Source organism: Homo sapiens, chromosome 9, assembly GCF_000001405.40.
Source record: "Homo sapiens chromosome 9, GRCh38.p14 Primary Assembly".
NCBI classification, from domain to species: domain Eukaryota; kingdom Metazoa; phylum Chordata; class Mammalia; order Primates; family Hominidae; genus Homo; species Homo sapiens.
In genome coordinates, this window is record NC_000009.12 from 29,189,906 (window position 1) to 29,215,057 (window position 25,152).

The following is a 25,152-nucleotide window of genomic DNA, read 5'->3' on the forward strand; positions in this document are numbered from 1 at the left end:
GCAGGCTGAGGCAGGAGAATCAGGCAGGGAGGTTGCAGTGAGCCGAGATGGCAGCAGTACAGTCCAGCTTTGGCTGGGCATCAGAGGGAGACCGTGGAAAGAGAGGAAGAGGGAGACCGTGGGGAGGGAGGGAGAGGGAGAGGGAGGGGGAGGGGGAGGGGGAGCTACATTTCAATTTTTACAACATTGTACTTAATCAGTTTCATTATCAACTTCATACTTTAAGAAATGCATTAAAATTAAAAATATTTAAAAATGTTTCTTCTTTATTAAAGAGCAGTCAGTGTTGAATCATAATCTAGAGATTTTTAGCACAAGCAACAGATTAAAAAGTCATCAGACAGATGGCCAAGATAACTACAATAAAGTGTACAAAATATATGATTATAATAATTAAATATTTTAATTGCTAGTAATTACTGTAAATTACTTTAAAAACTAATTATAACCAAATTTGAGTAAGCTGACTTGTTTATACCCACTTCTACTTGATATCCTGGCAATAAAATGGATCTCAAAACATATCCTTATGGTTCATAAAAAGCTAACAAATGTTTCAAAAATAGTGTAAGGAAATTTAATGTAATATTACTTATTTAGTTATTCCCAGTGTTTTTCTGAAAACAACTATTTTCTAGTTCATATGATTAAAATAGGTAAGAAGTGCTGCTAGATAAATTAAAATAAAATATGGCAACAAGGTAACTACCCAGGCTTATGCTGATTTCAAACAATTCAAAGAAAAGTATAAAACAAATATCAATGGAAAGCAACCAATAAGGACACCATAACCTTAAAAGTTGTTTATTTAAAAAATTATATTTGCCCTTTGTTCAAAATTTCCATATTATGAAAAAATAAGACAATTTTAAAATTATTAACTTTCCAAGCATTCCAAATATATGCCAATTAACTGGTATGGCATTGTCTCCAATTTTAATAATTTCCAGTTTTTTAAATATGATGTGATTTCCAGTGCTAATCATAGGTGTATTGGTCTTGGATAGACAGAGACCAAATGAAGAACAGATCAACATCGAAGAGAAAGTTTCATAAGGTCTCTAAAACAGAGTCTGGCTAATATTTATTGAGTGTCAATTTTGAACAATGTAATAAGAGATTCTAAATGATTAAAAACATTAAGTACAAGAAAAAATCCACTAGACCACGGTGTGAGAGAGAAATACCACACATTTGCCACCATTGCAGATATTCAAATGCCATTGGATCACATTCTTAGTCAATAAGAAAATAGGACACCTGATAAAATTTAAGCAAGACCCTCAATACATAAGTAGAAATAAGAAATACAAAATTAATATAAGCGTATTCAGTCTGTTAGGTGCATTTAAATGCATTATTGCTATGACTTTGGTATATACAAGAAAAACTTGAAAGCAAACTGTGAACTTAAGAATTTCTAACATTCATAAGGCTTCTTTACATTTCAGTTCCAAATAGACTTTTAATAAATAGAAACTTGAGCTATATTTTCAGATTTTCTTATTTTAGTCATAATATACATATACATTTTTTATTATGACAGGTTATTAGGTTTTGTTTCTGTTTTTTTTTGGCGGCAATGATTTTAAATAACCATTCCTGTTCACTCTTGACTTAGTTTTGTTGATCTGGGTGCTAATTATTATTATTACTCTCACTGTTTTCCATCTGTCAGCTCATCTGCAGGGTCTTAAACTGCTTAAGCTTATGAAAACACGAAACATTCTGGGGTTGCTTCACTGTCTAGTTTCTCTACATCATTAATACCATAATCAGGATAGCACAACTCAAAAACCAGACAAATCATCTGCCATGCATGTTTCGCTATTCACTACTTTAACATTTTTGAAGCACTTATTATCAGGCACAGTGCTAGGTCCCAGGGATATAAAGATGAATAAGATTAAATATTAGCAGTACATTATGATGAGTTACAATTACGCTGTAAACGTTTTTTCTTACGAACCTGATCATATCTCTTTTCTGTGGATTTTTTTCAAGCTTTCTTAATATTGAGTTCACCTTTAAATCCAGGATTATGTAAGTATCTCCAGGTAATTTTATTCTCCCACTAAAACAGAAGCAACATTAATGTAAAATACCCCATGGGGTTTGTTATGTAGGGGATTACCTAAACTAATTACTAATATACTATCTATGATACAGTTACCCGCACCCTCCAACCTCTTCCCAGTTACAGAATCAATGTTATAAATTGTACTGGCAGCATTTATATTAGGGTTGTCAAATTTATTCATATTATGAATTCTGCTACAGGATTTCAGTTTAATTACTTGAATTAGATACCCCTACCATATGTGCATCCAGTTAATTTATACCTTGTTTTAGGGCCTGTTCTATAGTTCAAAGCTCCTAACAACTTGCTAATAAATATGAAAGGAAATTTGAAGATAACTTGTAACATACATTTTTTATTATTCTAAAATTATACTACAAACAGAAGCACTTTTGTAAAGCTCAACACTACATTTATATTCTTCACATTACCTTTTCACAATAATCTCCAGTATTAAAATGGAGATTGATTTCCACAGAAGTATTGATGGCTCCAGAATGTAATGGAAATAATACAGAAACACAACTAATCTCTTATACATAAAGAAAATATTTTTCTAATGAAATATTATTAACATATTTCCTCAAATTGTTAGGAAAAAACAACTTGCCAGTGATATAACATTTGATAAACATCTCTTCGCTCTGAACACTAGAGACTATATATTGTTAATACATCTCAATTCGGCCAAGCAGAGGTAAAATATTTTTATTTGATATTACTTTGTTTGATTTTCTGTACCTCACAGGCCTCCTTTTATAAAAACCCAGGCAGGGTCATAGGTTTTAAGAAACTCCATCTCTCTGGCAGCAGTCAGGGCATAGTCCCATGGTTCTGCAGTTTGTTCATTTCACAAAGGATGTTGGCTGTGGGGACAAGTAGGGACTGAAACCCAGTCCTTACTGCTCCACTTGTCAAACTATGCGGTGCCCCATTACAGGACTGACAGGCGTTGTGGTATCTTAGAGGAAGGTGTACTTCTATGCAACTTTGTGCCCAGGGATGCTCACTTTTTACCATTCATCTGACAAGAGGCAGAATCTTTCAGTAATTCTCAGAAGGCACTATATATGTTAACAACAACCTCACCTTTTTCTGGGGGTAGGTGGAGAATTGGAGGAGGATATGAAACTAGAATCAACAGACTCCCTCCTTGCCCTCATTATTTACATCCAAACACACCAAAATGTATCTCTAACTCTTTTGTCCCATTACCACTGCCTTTGTTTAGGACCAAATATTATCTGACCTGAAACTGCCTATGAAATAGTTTTTCCTTTAGGCTCTCTGAGTCTTCAGAGTCTAATTTATTTCCCTACTTTCTGCTTACCATTCGGCCTCAAATCTGGTACACCATGCTCACCCACTCCATTTGTCTCCACTCAGTCCCATCATAGGCATTGTGAACCTGAATATATCATATCCTCTCCAGTCATAATGATCCTCCTGGTGTGCTCCTGGTACCTGGCATCCTCTATTCCTTCACTTCTTTTCTGCCTAGCTTATTGACTTTCAAGGGGAGTAGATTTGTATGCCTTTGAGGTATTAATAATAAGTATAATTTTTATTCCAAATCTTCATTTTTACATTTAATTTAGAGCTGCTTCTACTCCCCTAGTCATGTTTGTCTCAGGCTTGGAAACCTGCAAAGGGCTGGGGACTGGGTAAGATTTGGGAAGTGGCATCTTTACTGTTTTCCCTGTCTCATTCTTCAAGTCTTCCCCTGTCACTCACTGTGTTGTTTCTGGTCTCTCCCAAGTTAGAAACTTATTGGCTCTTTTAAGGAGAGCTTCTGTGAGACTCTGAAGTCCACTCTTCACAACCACTCTCAGTTTGCTGAAGTCTTTCTCCTGTAACGTTCACTGCTATGGGCCATGCACCCATGCATCCACTGATGCCATGTAAAGGGGCAATTCTACTGCAGGCTTGTGGGGACCATCCCAGAAAGCTAGGCTACCCCTCAAATCACTGCAGTCTGAGATGAGTGTGCCAAGTCAGGTAACAGCAGTGGTGAATGAATGGAAGGGGGCTTGTCCTCTGGAGTCCAGCCTCCACCACAGTAATCTGGGCACTCTTCCCCTCTCTGAGCTGCAGCTTCCTTCTCTGTAAAATGGGTTGATCCCTCCTAGGGCTGCATAAGGATTGAACAAGGTCTTGCTTACGCATCACTGAGCCCATGATTTTTACATACAGTAGGTGCTCATTAATGAGCACTACTGATTCAGGGTGGCTGGGGCATCCAAGTCATGCACCTCCTTTGGGGAAGCACCCCCCGGAGCCCATGTTTATTGTCCAAATAAACAGATGAGCCAACTGCTGTTCAGGAGGCCACAGGCTGTCCCCTATTGCTACCAACCCCTACTGCTATGTTCTGCTATATATAGACTCTCATTCTGGGGTCCTCTCACCCTGCTACTGATTAGTCCTATGTTTCTGATGCTCTCTATAGTACACCAGACCAGGACATCCTGTTCCCCGTGCATCAACTGTAAGTACAGTCTCCTTTCAAGGCAGATTTCTGTCTTTGATCTGCTATCTCAGATAGCTTTAGCCGGACTTTGTCCTTTGATTTTTTAAAGTAAAGTTCAGGCAATAGTCCCTATGATCTCCAAATTCCAAGGAATAAAGGTCAAATATTCCGAACACTTACCTCCACCCCACTAACTATGCTCTGATCACAAGGTGGCAAGAGATCCCTGAGTAGTTTTGTAATGTAGATTTGGATGTACATTTACCCTTTGAAATTCACCCTCAAATATCTCCTAAGCAATTTTGTGTTCCCTTTACCAAGATTTCCTCCATGTTAACATCTTTCAAAATAATAATACAATATCACTACCAGGATATTGACATTGAAAAAAGCTACTCATCATATTCAAATTTCCTCAGTATAACTTGTACTCATTTGTGATTTTATGTGTATTTAGTTCTATACACCTTTATATCATGAGTAGAATCATGTATCTGCCATCTACCATCACAGTCCAGATACAGAACAGCTCCAACACTTCAAGGAATGTTTGTGCTGTCTATTTATAACCCTACCCACCCCCACCCCCAAACTTTGTCAAGCACTAATCTTTTTTCCATGTCTACAACTTAGTCATATCAAAAATCAAACATAAATAGAACCATACGGTATGTAAACTTTTGAGATTGGCTGTTTTATTCAGCATAATTCCCTGGAGGTTCCTATAAATGGTCAATCAATATGTCATCTCTTTTTATCGCTGAGTTGTATTCTACGCAGTGGATACCACAGTCTGTTTAACCAGTCACCTAATAGAGAACATTTTATTGATTTTATTGTTTCCTTATTTTTTGTTATCATAAAGAAATCTGTAATTAACACTTTAATATTGTGTGTGTGTGTGTGTGGGTGTGTGTGTGGGTGTGTGTTATGCCTCTGTAATAAATGCCTGAGAATCCAATTTCTGGGTCATACATTAAGGAGATGCTTAATTTTATATGAAACTTCCAAATTATTTTCCAATTTTTTTCAATTTTTCCCATTATTAACTTCCTTAGAAACTTTCATACTGTTTTCATAATGGCTGTGCCAATTTACATTCTCACCAACAGTGTATTATGTTTCCCTTTTCTCCACAACTAATTAGTAATTATTAATCATTGCTTAATAGCTAATAAGAAAAATTTAAAGTCAAGAGGGAAAGATCTATGAAGTATCAAATAGAAAAAAATATTTTGCTAATATTGAATTTTGATCACTAGCAAAGCAGCTAAATTTAATCTGGACATACTTTATGACGAAAGATTCTTTCACAGATGTCAGATATGCAAGAGAATATCAATTGCTTTGCAGTCCTGTGTTATAAAAACATTAATTTGGCATTTTTAATACCACAGATACTTTACCTCAACAGACACTTATAATCAAATTATGTACTAATGCCCTAAGACATCAGTGAATGTAAGTTATCCCTGCATCTAGAATGGTACTAGTTATCAACCATCTTTGGAGAAACCTAGAAAATAAAATCACACGAATCATTTCCATGTGCTCCAGTTTAGATGAAAATATTCAGCTAAGAAAGACTGAAGGAAAATGTTTGATACTTTACAGGTTTTGGACATATTGTAGTTTATTCTTTTCTTGTTAATCGTCCTAACAAAGAAATGACATTAAGTTATTAAATTGGACCCTGGGATTGCAGAGCATCTTGTGACTAGCTGCTGTCAAGAAAATGTCTGGAACTTACTTACATATGCTTCCTATCCACATAACTTCCAATTTTCACAAAAGACCTGATTTTCCACTGTTCCCCCTTGTTGCTAGAATAGATTTAATTTGACTGATGACTTCCTTTCTTTTCTATTTATCATGTATAAGACATCTACAATAGCATCAGATATTTTATTACACTTTAAAGAAATGGTATTATTAGCTGTTCATAGCATCACCGTCTTATTTAAACATTATATTTAATATATGCAACTTGAAGATTTTTAAAGTTATAAGGATATGTTATACATAAAAATATTTAAAATAATGGTTTGCTTTTCTCACCTTGCAAAATGGTTAGCATGATGGAAGAGTCTCCCAAATGTCACCGTTATATTGATAGACAACCTTTCACCAGTGTTAAGTGAAGGTTGAGCACTCTTAAGTGTGATCAGACTTAAACATGCAAAACAAATCTAAAGAAGCCTATAGTCTAATTTGAGATAAAATACTAACCCAAAGTAACTAATTAAAAAGCAATGCAAAAGCTATGAACATATAAATGTAATTGATGTTTAATGAGTAGTATATGAAAAATTTTCTAAATGGCAGAAAATAAATGCTTGGTATTCTGGGCTGGGGCTGAGAAAACTTTGAAAAAGATGTCAGAAATAACGGAAAATATGTCAGTCTTTGCCTGGTATTATAGTGCATTCTTCCTCACACTTTCTTATTATCCCAGGTTAGATAACTCACTCTTCTTCTCACTACCAAGATATGTGAGGTATTCTCAGTTCCAACTGGCCATAGAAATACCTTCTTTTTTAAATTTTACTTTTTTCTGCCTCAAGTCCATTTAAGTTCACTTAAGCTGTTTTAATAGGTAACCTCAAAACTTTAGGCTGTAGACCAAAGTGTTGGAATTTTACAAAGTCCAATTCTGACATTAAGTCATCTGTATGTAATAGTAGTCACACTCTACAAACATTACAAAGAGATTTCTGGTGTTCAGAAATGTATAGCTTAAATATCTAGCATCCTTTGGAAGACAGTAACTTACAACTGTATATAACTATCATTTATAGGATAGCCCAGCTTGGACCAGAATTTTAAAATGTCCCATTAAAAACCTATTCAAAATCTTGTACTGCTCAATCTCATCAAGTGTTAATTAGATCATCCTCAAAGACAAGAGGATGGTTCAAAAGTATTCTGTATGATAATTTCTACTTCTGATCATCAACTTGGCGTAGATCTTTGAAATGTGATTATACTTGTTACATGAGGGACTGTGAATCAGAAGACAGAGATAAAATTATAATAATAATAGATAATATTTTCAAAGTTATAATGGCATTTATACGCCAGAATGGTTCCTTATTTGAGGTGTGTTTGCTAACTAAAGCAATTAAGTGTTTCAATTCAGGGTAATAAAATGCAGCAACTCCTTTCAAGGTTTCATTAAATTTAAACTTTTATAGTGAATACTGGCTAAGATTATTAATATATAATATGCCTTATGCTTTGGTAAAGTTTCACTGTCCTTTGCTGCACAAACCCAAGAGTGTTTCATATTACTTATAACGTAATCAATCAGTCTAAAAGATTGATTCACTGTTTAAGCTGGAGCAATCTTTTGAAATAAATGTACAGTAACTGACAGCAACAGTTTTCACATGGGTATTCTGAAAATGGAAAGAATAAATACACTTTACTTAAGTATCTTCAGTAATTTCCATTTAGTAGCACATGAAGGAACATGAAATAGCTTTAATGAGTAGTGAGTGAATTTAACTATTTGTGCATAGTACCATATTGATTTTAAGAAAAATAATAATAACATGCCAGGACTTCCCATAAATCATACTGTAATTCCTTCCAAGAGGCTATGACTCTGCAGTAGTAGGCAAATGTATTTTTAATTCAATTTATAAATGGCTTAAAAAATACTAAAGGACACAAACTATGCTCTAATAGTCCTCTGGAACAATGGTCTGTAGAACAAGATGTTAAAAGGAGGCATTTTCTGTGTTGGTTTCAGTTGAGACCCAAAATGCAATAACCAAATAGTTGACAAGAACCTTCACATTTTTAATCAAAATGCTAGGTCATCTATGCAGAACTTGTAAAAGTGGCTTTCAAGAACCACCAGTTTTATAAGCCAGCATCCTTTGCAGCGTAAGTGGCTGACAGTTTGGAAACAAGAAAGAAAAATATTTTTGGCTGGGAGCAGGGGTGGGAAATTGTTGAGCTGCTATAATCCCTCAAGTATCACTTCACCTCAAACTTTGAAGAAACTTCAGGGAGACTGCTTCAGAAGCTTATGTGTATACACTGATGCTCGGGGACAGAAGAGTTAATGTCTGATATGCATTTTAGAAGTCCTCTCCTAAGACCAGTGTTGTAGGAGAATTCCAGAGGATTAGTAGAGCATAGTTTGTGTCATTCCGTATTTTTTAAGCCATACATACATTGAATTAAAACACTGTATTCCTAGCTGAGCAGAGTGAATTGTTAGCTACAGTCTCCCTGGGAGAGGCAAGATTCTGTAAATGTTTCCTGAAGACTAAAGAGGGCAACTAAGAAGAAACAATCTGCTGAAAGACATTTCAAATTCTGTTCAAGAACAATGCATAGGTGAATGGAATAATCCCAACATAGGGGATGAATTTCCAGATTTCCAGGGGCTGGGGGAGAAATATTACGCATGTAACTGGACGAAAATGCATTTCCTGTATCATAGAAAATTCAGCCAAATAGTCCCAGTAGGGGCCTCTGAGAAATACAGATATCTCTGTGTCTCAATAGGCTACATTAGGCTGTGGTAACAAAAAATCCCTTAATTTTAATGGCGTAAAACCACAAGGATTAATTTCTTGTTCAAGTATAATGGTTGTTGCGGGCCTGTGGGAGGCAGAAGCTGGCCCCTCTCATTGAAGTTTCAGTGATGTCATGATGAAACAATAGGCATCTCCTCTACAGTTGTAGACTGCAGTGTCTAAAGGAAAAGAAAGATCTCTGGAGACTCCCATCCCAGTTCAGCCTATCACTGACATTTTTCATTTTTGTTCAAAACTTCAAAACTCATTAATCAGAACTGGTTAAATGCCCTGCCCAACCACAGAAAGCCAGGAAGTTCAGTCCTACCATGTGTCCAAGAGGCACACAGCCAGAAATTTTTTATAGCATTCACATCCACTGTACCACTTGAAGATAAAACAAAAAAAAATCATTGAAAAAGAAAGAGAATCCACCAAACCCAGGGGAAGTTTATCCAGGGTTACATTTAAGTCAGTCAAGTCACACTTCACCTTTACCTCTCCTACCTTTCTGAGGCTTAACCCTAGAAGAGTCAGAGGCAGCATCCTTGAACAGGACAGAAAGCATAGAGGCGAACTGGGAGAAACACAGGAAAGGCTGACCAACTCCCCTTTTCCCAATAGAGGTGGCCAGAAAAATGCTGGGAAAACTTTCATATTAAATAGATTTAAGACCTCCTTTTTATATGAATAGTATGTAAAAGAAATGTCACTATTCATGTGATTAGCAGTAATTGCTGAACATTTTATTCTCTAATAGTAAATGAAATAGGAGGCCTATCTGACATTTTATTCATGAGCAAGAAAATATTTAGCCCCATAGCGCAGGTTTGAATGAAAAATAGTGAAAGCAAAGTGGAGAAAGACCAGTTGGCTTAAATAAGGACAAATGAAAAACAGCTCATGCTAGATGAGTAAATTTTCAGTGAATGGTAAACAGGAAAAAAGTATTGAGAGAAAAAAAAAGCTTCAAAGTGAAGCTTAACGAAAACTATCAGAATGCCTTAAGAATATCACAGGAAATTATCACATATCACCAAGAGAATCTCAGAAGCATTAAGATAAAAAGCTATTACAGAAATAGGAAAAATGTTTAGAAATCAGGCTAGACTACCCTGGAGTTTTTCCCGGATACATGAAACCAAAATTAAAGATAAAAATGCAGTGAAAATCTGACTTAAGTCAGAAACACCTAGGAAAATGCTCCATCACAGCAAAATGAATGGCAGAAAATCTGATTAGACTCTGTAACATTGGCCAAATAGTAATGCTGGGCAGAGACGAAAAACGTAATGTATTTCCAACAAACTAGATTTAGGTATAGAGTGATAACCCCTTATAGTATCAGAACACATTAATAGAACTCCCAGATGAAACTACCATTAAATCAGTAACTATTCAATCTTAATCTTTGAATTTTTCTTTTTCAGTGATACAGAAAGTATCAAAGAAGAAAATCGGATATGCATGTTTAAAGAGATCAAATATTCAAAATAAAAATGAGTAAAATATTGTTTGTTTTATGTAAATTGGCTATGTTTTAATTTTAAAAAGACCTTTTTAAACAAGTTAAGATATATAGAAAAATTTCATAGCACAAAGAGTTCTTATCTACGTTACACCCAGTTTTTCCTACTATAAACATCTTACATAAGTATGGTACATTCGTCACAATTCATGAACAAACAAAAGTTACATTGCCGTTAACTACAGTCCATACTTTATTCAGATCTCCTTAGTTTTTATCAAATGTCCTTTTTCTATTGCAGGATCCCATACAGGATACCATATATTAGTTGTCATATATCCTTAGCCTCTTCTTGGCTATGACAGTTTCTCAGACTTTCCTTGTTTTTGATGAGCTTGACAGTTTTGAGGAGTACTGATCAGATATTCTGTATAATGTTCCTTGGTTGGGATTTGCCTATTTTTTTTCATGATTGGACTAAAGTTATGCATTTCTGGGAGGAAGACCACAGAGGTAAACCATCATTCTCACTATATCAAGGGTACGTTCTATCACTATGATCACCACAGTTGATGTTGACCTTGGTCACTTGGTTGAGGTCATGTTTGTCTGGTTTCTGCATTGTAACATTACTTTTTCCTCCTCCTTTCTATGCATACTGTTTAGATGGAAGTCACTATGTGCAGCCATGCTTAAAGAGTGGAGAATTATACTCCACTTCCTTCAGGGCAAGTATCTACATAAATTATTTGAAATTGTTTTGCATAGATTTGCCTATTCTTCCCAATTCATTCATTCATTTGATCATGTGTTTATATCAGCATGAACGCATGGATATTTTAGGCACAAATTCCACAAATTTTCATAACAGCCTTATAGAGATATAATTCACATATCATACAATTTACTCACTTTAAACTGGCTCTAATTTGAAGAGATGGTAAAAATCAGTGCTTACTCAGATACAAAGAGTTGCTCAACAATCATCAATCCAGGTCTAAATTACTATATGAAAGTTATCAATTAAGCCATCTATAACCATGTGTTTAAACTACAATAGTCAATTTGTATTGTTATCTTTGTTCTATAACCTATAAAATCAAACTCATATTATATTAAGATGCAATGAAACTGTTATAAAAAGGCAGGGAAAATCCAATAGAAAGAGATTTCAAGTTCATTGGCTTTACTTTTCTGTACAAACCTCTCATTATTAGAAAAGTGATGTAAATTATTTCATTTAAGATTATTTTATTAGTGGCTTTTAATTGTATACTTAATACAGGAATGACTTTGTGTAGGTACTGAGCACACAAATTTATTTTACACCCATGCTTTATCCTATCATCGTAAACTTCAGGTAAGACATGCAGGCCAGAAAAGTGTTTTTCACCCCTATTTTACATATTAGGAAACTAACACGTCATGAGACGAAGAGATTGTTCAAGGTCCAATAACCAGAAATCAATGGCAGTCAGAATTTGAAACCAAATCTTAAACTTTTAGTCACTGCATGTTACCTCTTTTACCAATTGGAAACAGTATTACTATGGTTTTGGATATGATTTAAAACTGTCTAAATGTTCTAAAAATCACAGTTCAATTCATTTCAAAAATATTTAGTAAGAACTAGGTCCAAAGATATTTTTAATGGTAATAAATAAGATATAATTTTTGTCTTCCAGGACCACATGATTTGGAAAGATAAATAGGCCAATGAACAAAAATAATAATATATTAAATAATACATATAAAAACAGAAGCTTGTAAAAGTAGAGAGATTCCAGGAATTTTGGAATGATTTATTGAGAATATGATACTAAGCTCATTTTTTAAGTATAAGTAGGAGTCTTCCCATGTGATCTGAAAAAGACTATTCCAGTTGCATGAATCCCAACGTGCAAAGCCACGGAGACATATTTTTAAATTGAGTGGCTTTATTAGTAAGTACCAGATTATTTTACTTTTAAATACTGCTTCCAACATCTAAAAATTGAGTATAAATTAATAATTACATTCATTAGCACTTTATTCTTATAAAGTGATCTTATACTTGATGTATCTATAGTCTTTCTAATTCCACAAGGAGAGCTAAATGGAAAGATGAATAATTATCCTCCCCAACATGCAAATAACTCCCATGGTTTTCTACCATTATTACAGACAAAACATATGATTATCATCCATATTCTCAAGCTGTAATTTGAAACCATTTATTTCTATTGAATCAAACTTCATACCCTTCCTTGAGCTTTACTTCAACATAATCATGGAACCTTCGTTTTTGGGTCAGCTAGTAATACTTTTAGTTTTAATCTCCTAATCTCTCTGTAAAACCCACAGTAAGCATTCCTATGAACTGATGAATAGGACCAGAAGCTCCAGGTCCAACAGAACAATCATCAAATCCACTTCTTTTTAGCAGTCAACCATACCTAAGTATTTTGCTAGGCTACATAAGGACCTATAAATAACATGTGGAATGTATTTCAATTCACATTTATTTCATCAATCTTGTTCACACATATTTTAAGTGTAATTAAAGACAAAATAATAGACTAAATTTTTACTGAGTTTATGCAGTACCTGTGAGAAGAATCTTGAATTCAGAACCAACCATATATATATGCAAATGCTTCCACTTAATTTAATCATCTACAAAAATAAGGTAAGATCAGGAACTCATGAATATGTTCTAGAATGATCTTCGCTGATTATAATCAAAAAGTTCTTTAGAAAGAAGGGGTAATGGACTACCATCAATCTACTTTAGTTAGATAGAATGAGGTTTTAAGGAAAAAAATAAAAATATCAATTAAAACCATGTACAGCCAGACAAAGTAATCTGCTACAGACTTCAGTGTTTAAGGTTATGTTACACAACTACTTGGAAGGAATGTTTTGCAAGGAATGTATCTAAGGCATGGGTAAATGAACTAGATGGTTAAGGCCACTTACAGAAAACATACAAGAGAGAGCATGACTCATGTTCTTATGACCCATGTCTTATTTACATGCTTTATGACCCATGTATCTTATTTACACAAGCTCCCTCTCTCACACTGCTACCCCAACTCTGACAAAAAATAAATTCTGTCACCAACCACTACCAGGAATCCAATCACACTAATGTTACTAAGACTAACATATATGTGACTTTGTTGAAGATGTTGAGATCACAGGAAGCAGTACCACTGCACAGATTACAACGTTGTAACTGAAAAATTCCATTGGACATCTATCTTCTGAAGCGTTTTCTGGTCCCTGGCCACTTAATCCTCTTGCCTATTATCCACACAGCACTTAGTCTCACTCTTCACACTTACTCACTCTGACATTTCTTGTGCAACATAGCTTCCTATTTTGTCAAACCTTAGGAACAAGGGAGCCCCAGGAAGTTCCTTCACTTTGTGTATTATATATTGCTATGATATTAAATACACTTATGATGCAAATGTTTTACTTTTGTAACCAAAGAAAAAGGAAAAAATAATAAAAATTACACATTAAGAAACAGGTTTCAACTCAAGACTAAATGAATGTAATAAGATGTGCCTTATGCAACTGTGAATGCACATAAAATAATGCATTTGTTCACAGTAGGTGCTAGAAGAATGCAGATGATGATTATGGGAATTATTCAAAGTAAGAAAAGAGTATAATGACACAGGAAAAGTTAGTGTGATAGGGAAGTATAGCATGTACTCCTTCAGTTTACCAGATATGAAGCAAAATTAGGTAAAATAGGAAAGATGAATGATTTGGATTAATCTATTATAAAAATAGTTCTCAGCTGAATGCTCACTAGGAACCAGACACCTCTTAGGAAAATCTTTCTATCTTTCAAACTCATGGATAAATCCCTGTCATTCAACTTCATTTCTTATATGCACATAACACAATTTCTCATTATGAATTTCATTTATTTTAGTTGCTTGTAAATTCTTTCTCATTAGCCTGTAAGTCTCTCAAGGGCAGGATTATATCTGTCCCCTTCCCACAGACAATATGTGACCCAGGGCCTACCTACTCCAGTGCTTAACACAAAAGAGGTACCCAATAAACACCTGAAGAATTAATCAGTCAATTCACTATAGACTAAGTATTGTTCTACAACCATATTTTCCTTCTTAAAAATATATATTGGAGATTTTCTCATGATGGTATTTAAAGAACTACAACATTTCACTTACCGTCTTATTAAACCAGAAACATACTGCATGAATATTCCAACATTTGTTTATCTATTTTCCTATTGGACATTTGGAGTTTTTTCAATTATTTAATAAAATCATGTTCACACAGTTTTGCACCTCCTTTCTAATCTCTCTGCCTGAGTCTTTTTCTCACCTTATTTAAATGATTTCCATTATAAACGTTGAGTAAAAGTGATGATAGCATACATTCTTACATTTCTTCCAAGCTTAGAGAAAAAGCACTTAGTGTTTCACCATTAAGTATGATATTAGCTCTAGGTTTACTGCAGATGTTCCTTATCAAGTTGAGGAAGTTGCCTTCTATTCCTAACTTGCTAACAGTTTTTATCAAGAATAATTGTTGTATTTTCCAGTGATTTTTCTGCATCTGAGATCACCATATGGTTTTTCTTTTTCTTTTTTTCTGTCGCCAGGCTGGAGTGCAGTGGTGCATTCTTGGCTCACTGCAACCTCCGCCTCCTGGGTTCAAGTGATTCTCCTGCCTTAGCTTCCCGAGTAGCTGGACCTACAGGCACACACCACCACACTCAGATAATTTTTGTTATTTTTAGTAGAGACAGGGTTTCACCATGTTGCCAGGATGGTCTCGATCTCTTGACCTCGGTATCCACCCACCACGGCCTCCCAAAGTGCTGGGATTATAGGTGTGAGCCACCATGCTTGGCCAGTTTTTCTTTTTACTCTGTTAATATGGTGAACTATTCAATTTATTTTCTAATGTTAAACCAACATTGCATTTCTGGGATGAACCTAACTTGTTCATGATGTATTATCTTTACTTGCCATTGCTATTTATACTTGCTAACATTTCATTAATAATGTTTACATCTATGTTCTGTAGGATATTGGCCTGTTGTTTTATTTTCTTATGATAACTTTTATGTTGGTCTCATAGTTGGAAAATCTTCCCTCCTCTACAGTTTCCTGAAAGAGTTTATATAGATCTGGTATTATTTCTTCCCTAAATATTAGGAAGATTTTATTAGTAAGGTCATCTGCGCCTTCAGTTTACTTTGTAGGAAGATTTTTTGTTTTGTGTTTGGGTTTTTAACAACTGATTTGCCACATAATTCAAACACCATGAAATTTACTCTTTTTATGTGAACAATTAAATGATTTTTAGTGAATTTACAGATTTGTGCAACCATCAGCACAATCCCATTACAGAATAGTTCCATTGTCCCAAAAGATTCCTTGTGCCCATACGCAGTCACTCACCAACCCCACTGCCAGTGCCAGATGAAAACCACTCTACTTTTAAATTCCATAGATATGTTTTTCTGTACATTTCACCTAATTATATCACATGGTGTTTTTTGTTACTGGCTTCTTTCAAGTAGCATATTGTTTTAAAGGTATATCCATGTTGTAGCATGTATCAGTATTTCATTCCTTTTCACTGATGAACATTTTCCATAGTATGGATATACCTTATTTATCCATTTGCTAATTTGGTGTGGAAAAGTTTTAACTACAGATACCATTTCTTTAAAAGACAGAGTCATTCAAGTTGTCTATTTCTTCTTGTGTGTACATGATATATTGCTAGAGATTCATGGGAGCATTTCTAAGGATAAACTTCTAAAAGAGGAACTATAAAGACAATTATTATGAGCATTTGTAATTTAATATATATCCAAGTAATAATTACTTAAATTGCATGTTAGATGAGCTGAACCAGTTTACAATGACTCCAATTATGTATTGAGTGTTTATTTCCCCACTCCCTTGCCAACACAAGGAGTCTATCGATGTTTTCATCTTTGTCCCAACTCAGCAGCAAAGACTATCTTACTATTGTGTTATTTTGCATTGCTTTAATTACTAGAGAGTTTATATATTTATTGTTTACTTTTACAGTGTTATACTCACTCTCAGCCCAGTTTCCTCCCCCTGCATGAATCTTTTTCAGACCACTCACACTTCACCCTACTCTGAATTGCCTGGTGACACAACTTTTGTATTGTTATTTTGTATAGCCTTGGGAACAACAGATATTTAATAAGAATATCCTGAATGAGGTGATGCTCTATTCTATTTTTGTTAGCTTATCACCGATTTTTGTCTTCTCTGCTTAACAAGAACACAGAATTCTTAAGAACAAGAACAAATTCTCATGTACCATGATATCCTGAATATCAAATAGAAAATTAGTTTATCAACAATAAATATTTGCATATTAATTGATGTGAATTTAACTAATCGAGACCAAAGCTAGGCTTTTATCATTACCTGCAAATAAAATTGAATAAAGAAAAAACATTTGCAATCCATAATCATAAGCTTAACCAGCAGGTGACAGTCACATCCTCACCTCACGAGGACTGCTTTCATCAGGCTATATGTGTGTGTGTGTGTGTATGTGTACATATATATATGTAAATATACATATGTACATACATATATACATAGAGACTCTCCCTCCCTATGTATGCATATGCTGTCTATATACATAGACAGAATATATATATATAAAGTATATATAAAGAAGATGTGTTCATATGATATTGTACATATACGTATATATGTATATAAAGGTCAAGTCAAAAATTGTTAAGAAAATAAAGGCACTTTCCTTTTGAAAAATGAAGCTCACCGTTTCAAAATCAACATTTATCACAAGGCACTGTTGTTGACTCTCCTGGTGTACCTGGAGCAATACAGTTTTTATGCTAATTATTTCTCTTCATGCTGGCTAGTAGATAAGTATCTTGCAGCTAACCATAGTTACATTATAATAGAATGAGATTGTCTGAAGACACAAAATCCTCTTATGTCGTCCAATTTAGAATCCATTTCACAAACTCTATGGTGCTACCTAGAAACTGAATGTGCTGGGAATCTTATATTTTTGCACATATTTCTGTTACACTGAACTTCAGGTATGATATTTGTAAAGACAATAATTCTACCTTTATAGGCAATTTGATATAATGTTCTATTATAACAACAAAAAATGTAATTTGTTTTCTAGTCTAGGTTCCCAGGTTTGCATTTAGTCTTACTCATTTTGTTAGAGAAAATACACTTATAGTTTTTACTGACAATGACACCAAAACTCTAGGGAAGGAAATGGTATTTAACTTACCCTTGCAGCCAGTAAAGACAGGCTATTCTTGACATTAACTAGTGAATACATTTAGAAAATTAACAAAATGTATTCTAGTCAAATCCTAGCGAACCTCATATTTTATAATAAGAGCACATAATTATTTCAATGGAGCTTTTAAAATTTTATTCAAATCCATGAGTCATTTAATATCTACCATGTATTTTCTTCCTAATTCACATAATGAAAATAACTTATAACTAATATTATTAGCATTAAAGCCAATAAAATAAAATAGGACAAATGGTCTACCAGTGGTCCTGGGCAAATTCCACTGTAAAAAACTAAGATAATATATTAGGTTTGTGTTCCATTTCATAGATTAAATCACTGAACAAAATATTCCACAAGCTAAATATTTTTAGTGTTCATAAAAATTGGGTAACTGACCTGACAATAATGAAAGCAAGGGACAGTTCCTACCTGTGTCATATTAAGTATACTCACAAGAAGAAGAAAAATGTAGAATTGCTAAAAAATAAAAAAATCAGAAACCCAACTGAGACTTTATTATTAAATGATATTTTAACTCTTTTTCCTTGCCGCCTCTTTGTTATCAAAACTCTTTAAGAACAGCACAAATGCCCAAATGAACTTTTATGGCCCATACAATAACCATTACAAGATTTCCATACATCACAAAATTTGTGCCTTATTAATAATAACTTTGAGAAAATCATCTCCCATATATAAATATTAATTTAAATTTGACTTTCATGACACATGTTAATATCTCATTCAGAGAAAATATTCCTCTCATCAAAGGCATATCAAAATCCATGATGCATTACTGAAGTTTTACAAGCATTCTTTAAATATATTTTATTTATTCTTCTATCAAGCGCTACATTTACTTGGCACCTGAAAGTTCTGTTTTTCTTTTTCCAATGCTTAAAGCTAGCTGTTATCAATTTTTAAACATAGAGTAGGTAGATATTAAACATTCCCATTGTACAGAAATCAACACTGAGCCTTAGAAAAAATAAGACAGCTTTTCAAAGAAGACACTGCTAGTCATGAGAAACACAGTGGAATTCAAGTCTTCTGGTGTCAGATCCACTGCTTTTTCTATTTATTCATGCTGCCTCCCAGTGGCACTGGATTAGTTTCTCTTGGGAGATTTTTAGAACTAGGATCTTCTCTCTTGAGGACATTTAAGAATAGATACAGCAACTGTATCTGTTGAGTGATAATCCTTTTTTTAAAAAGTAACTTTTATGAAGGTTTAGATGAAGCTAAGGTTTCCTAAAATATGATACTTATTTCTGAACCAATATACACTGACAAATGTCACTCTACTACTTGCTGAATATGAACATTACATATTTGATTACATTGGCCAATTTGTTCACAGAGTATTAATCATATGAAAATAAGCCACTCAAAGCACAAACGCACCATGTTCTTAGGCTGTCCACCTATGTCAAATGAATACCTATCCATGCTTTTACACTTTCCAGAAACGAAAGGCAGTGAAGTTGCAGCGAGACACAAGATGCATTTACAATTTAAGAGACGATAATAAACTGATGACTCGAACTCCCTAAAGACCCAAACCCACCTTCTAGTCAATTTTTGTATAAAATTAAAAAATAAATGCAACAATCTTAGTATTTTAAGACTATCACCCACTTAAAAGTAAATTATGGACTGACCATTATAAAGTAACTGTAAATTAGCATGGATTTAATTCTGAAGGAAATATTTTAAAGGAAAAAGAGGGAAGAAGAAAAGGAAGGAAGGAAGGAAGGATTTCTTTAGAAGCATAACAGAAAAATCACAGAAGTATATGCCATTAGATGGGTAAGCCTGATACCTGGAATTTAACCTTTCCCTCATATTCTCCCTTAATTTCCTTACCCCAAACCCTTTTTAAATTTAATTTATTTTCTTTCAGGAAATACGGTATTTTATGCTTGAATAGTTTTTAAAGTTATTAACATCAAAGTAGCCCCTAAACCATAAAGGGAAGAGGCTTGGTGACATATTTCAACAAAATTATAAATACAGTACTCAGAGGTTGGTTGAGGGCTATGACAAAGAGAAATATTTACATAAATTGAGAAAATGGATTTTTTTTCAATCTAACATGCTTCCTTAAGGATACAACACAACCAAATTGGAGAATCAGTAACTGACAAACCTCTTTGCATATAGTGACCTCCTCTCCTTGTACTACAGGAAAACATTTCCACCTAGAGTCCTTTCACAGAATATCTAGAGACCAAACGAAATCAACCATAATGACTACCAGAGCCAGATCATAATCAGTTTTTAATTGAAGTATCAAGCCAATTAATTTGTGACAACTTCCTATCACTTCTTATTCTTGACATGAAGTTGCAGAGGACTCAAATGGTTTTCTGGTCCATGACAGCTGTGGAACATTTTAATGTTTGGTCTCTTTTAAAATCACATTTATTAGAGAGGAAAGCATCTTTAGAGATGGAGTCCTAAAACTGACTCGAGATTACAAACCAGCCTCACCAGTTTAATTAGATTAAATGTCAAGAAAGAAAACTTCCCTTATACATCATATACACAGAGTCTTAATAGCAGATCTTCCTTTGGTTTTAGAGGTGTCTTTCAGAAATACATTTGAGCCCTAAATATGTATGTCTTTGTTAATTTAATTCAACAAATAAATGATTAGTGTATATATAAGTTGTACCTATATTCAGATGAGTATCACTTTTTCACACCATAAAAATTTCTAAAATACTGTATTTTAAGAACACAAACGATCCTTTTTGGGACTTCATCAAGATATATATTCTTGCCTTCCACACAGAGCATCATCCACTATAATACATGAATGACAAACTTTATATAAATCTTCCCTGAGATAATGCTATGTGTTATTCAGCAATGAAAAACATCAATAAATTGTCCTGCTTCCATTCCCACTACAGTAAAATTATATAAAAATATTAACATATATGTACCTTAATCAAAAATAATAGATGCCTTACATAACTAAACCACTTCTGCCATCAATAGGCAATCCATTCCATTTAAATTCTTAAGGTGAAATACCTGGCAGATCTCAAAACATTTTACTGGTTTTGAACAGGAAGTACATTTTTTTTTCTTCCTCACACTCCAACTGTATTGGGAGTAACGCATGCTACTGGGTGATGGTGACAGAACCCTAAAGAACATCTCCTTCTTTTAAAATGTTAACCACTGCTTCTAATTTCTGAAAAATATTTTTTGCCCTTTCAGTATGTGGCCCAATATTTTCACCAATGATGGATCTCAGCTTCTATTCAGTATTCCTGGAATATTCCACACCCGATGGTAATTTTTGGTCTTCCTTTAGTATTATTCTAAATATTCGTCTTTGTTAAGAGCCACCTTTCCAAGACCCTGAAACTGCATTACTGAGTGTAAAATGACCACATATGGTATGCACAAACACAGCACAGCACGCTGAAAAATACATACATTACCGGCTGACAGACACGGGGGTAATCACACCAAGCAAACACAATAAGCACTCTTTCATTTATTTATTTATCTATTGCTTAGACACACTCATCAAACATATTCAGTGCCCACTGAGCCCAAGGCAGTACACAGCACAGATAATATCTGTTAGGTGGCTTCAGCAAACTGGATTATGTCAAAGTGTGAAATGTGAAGTGAATCTGACTTCATCAAATAAACTGAACTCCAAGGCCATTTCCCAGCACTCACTCCCCCACCTCAAACACACAAGCTTAACTTCGCCCTCCTTCCTCTTCTGATGCTCAGACCATGACTTCCTTCTCATCCTTCTCTTCTCTTCTCTTCTCTTCTCTCTCTCTCTCTCCCTCCCTCCCTCCAAGTATTTCAGCAGCTTTCCTCAGTTCTCTGAGCCAATCCCTCGGAAAAGGAAATCAGCAAAATGCTGAATGGGGAGACTTCACCAGCAGGTGAAGAGGAAAAGAAGAGGGTGTGGTACTCGTTTTCTCCACCACACCCCATCCCTGGAGTCTTGCACTCCAGTCTACTGCGGCTCAAAGCGGGCACAGCAGGTCCCCTAGCTCACCTCGGAGCAGCCTGGCCCAGACCAACCACCCAGCGTTCTCCGCAAAAAACTTCCCTTAAAGCAGCCAAATATTCAAGGGAGGCGGGGGAAATTGGGCATTAGTTCGAATACACATACAACAGAGCACCACGGAGCAACACTGAAAGGCACCTTTTTTAGATACAGACCCTATAGACTCTCTCTCACCCTTCACTCCCTCCCACCCTGAGTATCTGACTGAGAATTTACAGAGAACCAAGAGGCGAAAGGAGAGTGGAGGAGAAAGAGGGCATTACCTCCCGGGGCTGCCCTCAGGGTGCGGGTCAGGATCTCATCCCCGAAGTGGCTCCAGTTCAAGGCACAGCTTTCCAGAGCTCAGCCGGGTTCGGACCTGCGTCCCCGCGGCGCGGTGCGGAGCTCGGAAGCGCGCCGGGACTGCCGCTCACGTCCCCCGCCCCTGCCGCGCGGGCTCCGCCACCCCGCGAGCACGCTGGCTCTCCGCGCTCACCCCGCCGCCTCCTGGCGCCCCCACACCCACCCGCTCCGCGGCGCCCGCTGGGAGCCTCTAGCGGAGGCGAAGGGAACAGCAGGCGACCTGCGGCGCCCAGGTTCCGACGCCGGTTGCAGGGAGCCGGCCAAGCGGCAGCGTGGGCTTCGCGCGCCCCCGAGTCCGCAGGCCGGGTGCCGCCGCCGCCCCCACCTGCCCACCTGCGCCAGGCTCACCTGCCACCGCGTCCTAGTTGCGTTCACCGGTGCCCACAGCTCTCTATGGCAATTGGGGGTGGGTCTGCGGTGCTAATAAAAATTTAAAAAAAAAACCTCTCTGGTAAAAAAACGAAAACCCAAAACCCAAATCCACGCTGTATATCAACCTCCACAGAGAACCCAGTCCGAAATCGTTTTCCAATAGGTTTCAGAAAGTGTGAGGACAGGACACTCCTCTGGCTTCCTGCCTCGCAGCTGGGCAGCGCCGCACCGGCTACTCCCTGACTTGCCAGGCGGGTCGTGCGATCGCGTAGCGACGCCCGGAGAGATCCTCCTAACTTGACTTAACCCCCACCCCATCCCCAACATCTATTTTAAGTTATTGTCTCTGGCAATTCAAGCAGCAGCTTTGCTGCCTCTTACCTTGAGGCGCTGTTAATTCTCCTTCGTGTCCTTAAAATCCCAAGCCAAGGATGCGACGCACACAAGTCCAGGGGCTTTTCCTGGACTTCCCCCTCCTCAGCTCTGAAGGCTCCTCCTTTCCAAGGGATCAGGAGGGGATGGCGGTTCAAAAGCCCTCACCATAGAGGCGCCTCCAAGCCTTCGTACCAGTGGAAATGGAGACCGGGACCACCTTCCCGGCACCCGGAAGCCTCCCAGCCCCTCCTGGGCCAACTTGGCTGCCTATTCAGTTTTCTTCCGTAACCCCACAGACACGTCAGTCAATTCCCTGGCATCAGGCAGGATATTCTCAGTTGCGGCCGCTCCTCTTGCTTTCTCTCGATAATGCCCCTCCCCCCTTTCTCCCCTTAATTTGGAAAAATTTCTACTCCCTGCCCGAATTAGGTGGGGATGAGGCGGAAAGGTGTAAGAAGAGCCACTCCAAGGCACAGCTTCGGAACACCGTCTCCCTGGGCTGCTGCAGCGCGAAGGTGTCTACGCTGGGGAAACTTTCAGGGGAGGCAGCGCCGGTGCGGGGCTGGGCGGGCGGCGGGCGGCGGCGCCAGGTGAGGAGGCTTTGAGGAGGCGGCTGCAAGGCGGGACGCAGGATAGCCGGCTGGGGCTTGGCAGCCGGGCTCAGAGCTCGGGCTGCGCACACACACAGGCGCGCACACCCGCGCGCGCGCAGCTACACACGCACGCCCAGCCCTGCGCCCGCGGCCCCCGGCCAGTGGCGAGCGAAAAGTCGGGAGTCCTGAGGAGGGGTAGGGGTTCCAAGGATGCTGATGACAGAAAGAGTCAATCAATCCTCACTAGTTAGCGGATTGCCGGCAGGCAGTTCCTCGCCGCACGCCGTTAAGTCCGTTGGGCCACCTCTCCGTTCTCTGCCCTGTCTGGCATTTCAACTCCCTAGCTCTTTTCTTGAAGCCAGTTACACCCCCTCGACACCCAGCGAGAGGCCACCAGACTAAAGATGAGCCCCGTTCCCATCGCCACCCTCCAGGGGCCACCTCCGCCCCTTCTGTAGTGGAGAATTGAAGTGGCTGCAGCAGCTCTCCTGGGAGCTGAGGGGCTCCCCGAGGTCCTTCGAATAGAGGAGCCTACACATCGCTTCGTGAACATAATCCCCTCGCATCCCGTCTTTACCTGCCCACTCCCTTCGTAACATTTCCCCCAAGGAGCTCCCGAAAGTCGCTTAGATGTTTTGAAAATGAATTTCTTAGGGAATTGTAGTGCCTAGCTTTTGGAACTGGGTTAATTTAGGTGCTACGCTTATATTGTAAACTGGACGGTAGCAGGTGAACGGCTCAGCTGGAGAAAGGGGAGGGATTAGGAGTCTGGAGACCCAACCCCTTTAGCAGCCATTTCCAAGGTTTTGCACCAGGAGTAGCTGTCCGGGTCTCTGGCTAGCTCCTGTCCCAACTTCTTTTTCTTCCCTCGACGGTCGGGAGGGATCACTGGGTGCTACACCGCTGGGGCGTCCCAGGCAGGAGAGACTTCGCTCTCAGAAGCGCCCCCGTGTCATCCACAACTCCCACGAAAGGAGCTTCCCAAGAGGAGTTTGTTTTACCCGGAATGGGCTGCAGGAATTAATTGCTTACAGAGAGTAAACTTTTGCCCGTTGTTTTTTTGTTTTTTGTGCTTTTTTTAACCAAAGCTTGCATTTGTGCTCCGCGTAGTTTCTATTGCAACAGAGCGCTACTCTGCCTTTTCAACTGTGAGACAGAGGATTGCTGAGGATTTCTGCCCTCTGGGGCTTCGCGAATATCTATGGCTTCGGACCTGCTAGCGGAAAACGCAAAGTTGCCCAGCTTGGAGATGGCACCAGGTTCCTTTGCTCTGGCGCTGGATGCTCCGCTCCGCCACCCACCGCCGCCGTCTCCATCGAGAATCTCCTCAAAATCAAGGGAGTTCTTGACTGTCCCTCTCCAAATTGGAAGGCGGTTGACTTTGCCGGGAACCGAGTTCCTGAGCGGCAAACGTGGAGTCGCAGAGCGCAGAAGTGAAGATTTAATACAAAAGATGAAACTTGTAGGATGACCTCTAGCAGCGCTACTCACAGCTCTGAAATCGATCCAGAGCATTCCACAGTGAGCGTTGCGGCTCCCAGGGGCTCCG

At 37.5% G+C, this 25,152-nt stretch overlaps 1 protein-coding gene across 11 annotated transcripts in view, besides 1 other annotated feature; it reads right to left on the reverse strand.

Moving 5' to 3' along the window:
• Nucleotides 1-23,696, reverse strand: part of LINGO2 (leucine rich repeat and Ig domain containing 2) — a 1,275,985-nt gene extending 1,252,289 nt beyond the window's left edge. For 6 of the 11 annotated variants that reach the window (NM_001354574.2, NM_001258282.3, XM_047422814.1 and 3 more), the window contains exon 1: nucleotides 23,017-23,696. The gene's annotated coding sequence lies outside the window, so the exon portion shown is untranslated. Of the gene's footprint in view, nucleotides 1-22,184; nucleotides 22,395-23,016 lie in introns of those variants that run through there. The other 5 variants (XM_047422818.1, NM_001354575.2, XM_047422815.1 and 2 more) reach the window with 1 other exon arrangement.
• Nucleotides 22,287-22,336: a silencer, noted in NCBI's record as "silent region_19824". NCBI's record gives its function as "represses an Ori minimal core promoter by ATAC-STARR-seq in GM12878 lymphoblastoid cells {active_cell/tissue: GM12878}" and the evidence as "EXISTENCE:reporter gene assay evidence [ECO:0000049][PMID:35858748]".
• Nucleotides 23,697-25,152: the final 1,456 nt, after the last annotated feature.